At 34.2% G+C, this 4,543-nt stretch overlaps 1 annotated feature.

Moving 5' to 3' along the window:
- Positions 3,746-4,297: an enhancer, noted in NCBI's record as "NANOG hESC enhancer chr16:76716883-76717434 (GRCh37/hg19 assembly coordinates)". NCBI's record gives its function as "activates a minimal SCP1, AML or CMV promoter by ChIP-STARR-seq in primed H9 embryonic stem cells {active_cell/tissue: H9 hESC(primed)}" and the evidence as "EXISTENCE:reporter gene assay evidence [ECO:0000049][PMID:30033119]".

Genomic DNA, 4,543 nt, shown 5'->3' with positions numbered 1-4,543 from the left:
ATTACAGATGTGAGCCACCGTGCCCAGCCTTCCATCCATTTACTTCTAATTTATACGTGTCTGTTTAAATTTCAGCAGGTTTCTGGTAGACAACATACATTTAGGTCTTGTTTTTTAATCTAATCTGACAATCTCTATTTTTTAATTGTTGTTAAATTTAGACCATTGCTATTTAAAGTGATTATTGATATAGCTGGATTAATATATATTTGTTACTCTCTTATATTTTTGCCTTTGTTCTTTGTTCCCATTTTTGTCTTCTACTCTCTTACTGCTTTTTGTGGTTTTAATTGAATTTTGTATGATTTGGTTTCTGTCCTTAGCATATCAGTTATATTTCTGGTATTTTAGAAAACTTTTTTTGGTGGTTTCCCTGCAATATACACTTACAACGAATCCATCCCCACATTCAAATAAAACTATAGCACTTCATAGACAGTGCAAGTACCTCACAATAACAAAATAATTCTTTCTTCCAGCCCTTTGTATCATTGCTGTCATTCATTTATACATAAACATATATATTTTAAAATTTCATACATTATCTAATACATTGATTAAGCATAAAATACATTTTTGCTACTGTAATTTTGAAAAACTTCTTATATGTTACATCAGTTAAGAATAATAATAATAAATGTTTTTATTTTGCTTTCACTTATTCCTTCTCCTATGCTCTTCCTTTCTTTATGTAGATTTGAGTTTTTGATCTTATATAATTTTCCTTTCTTCTGAAAAATTTCTTGTAATATTACTTACAAGGCAGGTTTACTGGCAACAATTTTTTTCAATTTTTGATTTTTGGATACAGTATTTATCCTTCATTTTTGAAGGATAATTACACAGAGTGTAAAATTTTATGTTGTTTTTCTCCCAATACTGTAAATATTTTGCTGTGCTCTCTTTTTGCTTATATGATTTCTGAGGAGAAGTCAGATAGAATTTTTATCTTTGCTCCTCTACAGGTAAGCTATTTTTCTCTCTGATCCCTTTCACAATTCTTCTTTGCCCTTGATTTTCTGAAGTTTCAATATGATACGCCTTAGTATACATGTTTTCATATTTATTCTGTTTGGTGTTCTCTAAGCTTCCTGGGGGTATGGTTTGTTAGATGACATTAATTTGGGAAAATTAACAGTCATCATTGTTTCAAATATGTCTTTATTTTGCTCATTTTTCTCCTTCCAAAATTCCCATTATACTTAAATTGTACCTTTTGTAGTTGTCCCACACTTCTTGGATAATCTATTCTGGGTTTTTTCAGGTTTTTTTTCCCCTTTTTTTTTTTTAGTTTTAGGAGATTTTATTGAGATGTCTTCAAGTTCAAAGATTATTTTCTCAGCATGTTCAGTCTACTAATGAGCCCATCAAAGGCATTCCTCCTTTCCTTTATATTGCCCACCTGTTCTGGCATGCTGTGCACTTTATTGATTAGAACGCTTATCCTATTAATTGTAGTTGTATTAAATTCCTGAGCTAATAATTCCAACATCTCTGTCATATCTGAATTTGGTTCTCATGCTTGTTCTGTCTGTTCAAACTGTGGTTTATACCTTTTAGTATGCCTTGTAATTTTTTTCTTGATAGCCAGATGTGATGAACTAGGTAAAAGGAACCTGATTCTTGTTACAGTGGAGGTTTCTGCCTGTAAGCCTCTGCTCTAATAAGTTGTGATTCTTTGTGTTCAACAGTCTTTTTCTGACTTTGAGGCAGAAATCTGCCTTGTGACATCACCTCTCTGACAGATCTGAGATGAGTGGCTGGTTTTTCAGATCGCTCAAATTTTACTTTTTGTTAGGATGAAGTGATGACTTTCAAGCTCCTTACATGCCATATTGAACACTGGACCTCCACTGACTACTTTTTTTTACAGGGCATTAAAAAAATCAAAGTCCATTCATACAGAATAAAAATTACAGGACTCCTACTATAACTAGCAGAGACATGTTTTTAACAATCTGTCAGATTAAAAAGGAAAACGAAAATATACCTTTTCTCCAAAATTCCACTTTATATTAAATTTGGAGAGCAACTTAGTTCTCATATAAGTCTTTTCTTTCATAAACAAAAATCCCATTAAGATGTTGATCCCTACAAGGGCACAGAGTTCTGTTAAGGGAAATATTAATGTTAGTATGAGGAAATCAATATAGGTAGCCTTTTAAAAAGCAAATTTGTCTTCCCACTCTAACCAAAAAGAAAAAACAAAAAAAATCCATGCTGGTCCTAACTACAAATAACATAAAAGTCTAACTTTTGAATATGTTTCATTGGGATAAATGTTGTACTTGTCTTCTTGTAAGAGTATTTCTTGACTTGTTACGTTTTTCAATTAAGAAACTATTGAATGAAGTATTTAAAATAGTAAAACTTAAACAATATTTAAGAGTATGTAATGAAATATAGAACCTTCATTTGCATGAGTATATTGGAATGCCTTTTCTTCCTAGCCCTTGAGGACAATAGGAGATAAAACAGAACTCTCAAAATTATATGTAACTCATCCATGAGGGAACCATCAAGAACACAACAAAGTTCACTTATGGAAGAACTGAGAAAGAAGGGAATTTGTCCAGCTAGTCAAGAAAGAAATGTCTAAGTATGTCTAAATAAAATGGCTAAATTATGCATAAGACGGACTCTCAGAAGTACAGTAAATTATGTTATCAATATTTGCTGGTTAACCTCCAACTTTAAAGAGCCATAAACTACTTGCACATTTATCAGTTGCGGGTTGTTAGTCAAATCTGCTGTGACCACAAAGTTACACCTCCAAGAGTATTAGATGAGAGTCAAACAGAATTTTTATAAAATGCTCTGACATATATCAAAAGCAATCATTATTTTATCTCTTTCTAGATGCAGCTCCATAGGTCACCTTGTTTTCCACCTGAGTATGTTTTTTTGGGTTCAGAGGAATGAAGTGATAACTCCAATCCCCTGCACATCCTCACTGGAGGTTTATTTACAATATACAACCCAGACACACCAGGTATAGCATACTAAAAGGTTTTCTTAGGTAAGAAATCGGTATATAGCAACCCCAGAAGGCCCTCGTTTATCTTCCAGCTAGTAAATTCCGTCAGTATGTTTAAGAGAGGTCAAAGCTGCCTGAGATGTCCCTAAGGAGGATAAAACAGAGTTGCAAGCCCCCTACTAACCCTATTCTCCCCCTACAAATAGTGCTTCCATAAATATTGCAGCATTTATGATGGTGGTAAATGATATATTCTTTAAAAGGCAAAATCATGAATTCCATACAAATATAAAAATAACACATGCCAAAGGCATATATAACTCATTAATGAATTAACAAACAAGCAAAATGTTTGTTTGGCTCAAAGGAGAATTCAAATACACCATATATAGGAAAACAGAAAGGCTGAAACAAATTAATAAGTAAATGTTAAACTGGTCAGCATCAGCAGGACAATAGTAAGTTGCATTCCACAAGATTAAATCCATTAGCCTGTCTAGGAAAAAAATAATAATGTACAGCATAACATTTCCTACACCCTCTAGAGTTATAAAATAGCCCAAAACCAATAAATTAGAAAACCCAGAAGGATGAGCTAGACAGAAAACACAGTAATCTTTTGTGTGGGTGTATACGCATTTTTAAACGTCATACAGTTTTTCCTGACAGTGGACAATTTTGTCAGGCATTTACCTAGAAGTGGATTTGCTGGATCAAGAATATTCATATATTCTAATTTAATCGATATTAGCAGATATTTCCCCCAAGTGATTGTGCCAATTTACACATTCATAAACCATGTAAAGTTCTTTTTATACTTGTAAAAATTAGGAAATCCTGAGCCTCAATTTAGATCTACCAAGAGTTAATCTTTGTAACATCCCCTTTACAGTTTTCACACATCTTAAGTCTTTGGAGCTATTATCTGTGAGGTAATAAAGAATATCTCCGGTCTTTGTATCCGGTTCCAGGCACAGAGCTTCTAAACCCTTATAATTGATTGAGTGACTGGAGTTTCTTTTTTATACAAATGAGGTGACTCACGGGAGACCTGTAAATAGCATCAGGATGGGGGCTGGTCTTTGGGCTAGCCTGACCTCCAAGGAGGGGATTAGGGCTAGGGGTTGAGTTCTATCACATGGCCAACGATACAATAAGCAAGCCTCCATAACACAACCCCAATAAAATCTCTGGACTCAAAGCTCAGTAGAGCTTCCTGATGGGTAAACACACTGATGTGCCAGGAGGGCAGCACACCCTAAATCTATGGGGAAAAAACATGGAAGGTATGTCTTTTTCACTCCCAGCCCATGTTCTGTACGTATCCTTTATAATAAAACTGTAATCTTAAACATAGCATTTTCTATGAGTTCCCTAAGTCATTCTAGCAAGTTACTGAACCTGAGGGGTGGTCATAGGAACCTATAAATTGGTAGTCAGTTGGTCAGAAGAATGGGCTGTCTGAGGACACCACTTGTGGCTGGTATCTGAAGTAAGAGAAGTCTTATGGAAGCCTGGGCTCTTAAACCTGTGGAGTCTGATACTAACTCTAAGTAGTTAGTGTCA

This window comes from Homo sapiens, chromosome 16 (genome assembly GCF_000001405.40).
Source record: "Homo sapiens chromosome 16, GRCh38.p14 Primary Assembly".
Taxonomy (NCBI): domain Eukaryota; kingdom Metazoa; phylum Chordata; class Mammalia; order Primates; family Hominidae; genus Homo; species Homo sapiens.
Note: the sequence above shows the minus strand (reverse complement) of the source record. Positions and strands in the feature narration are given on the sequence as shown.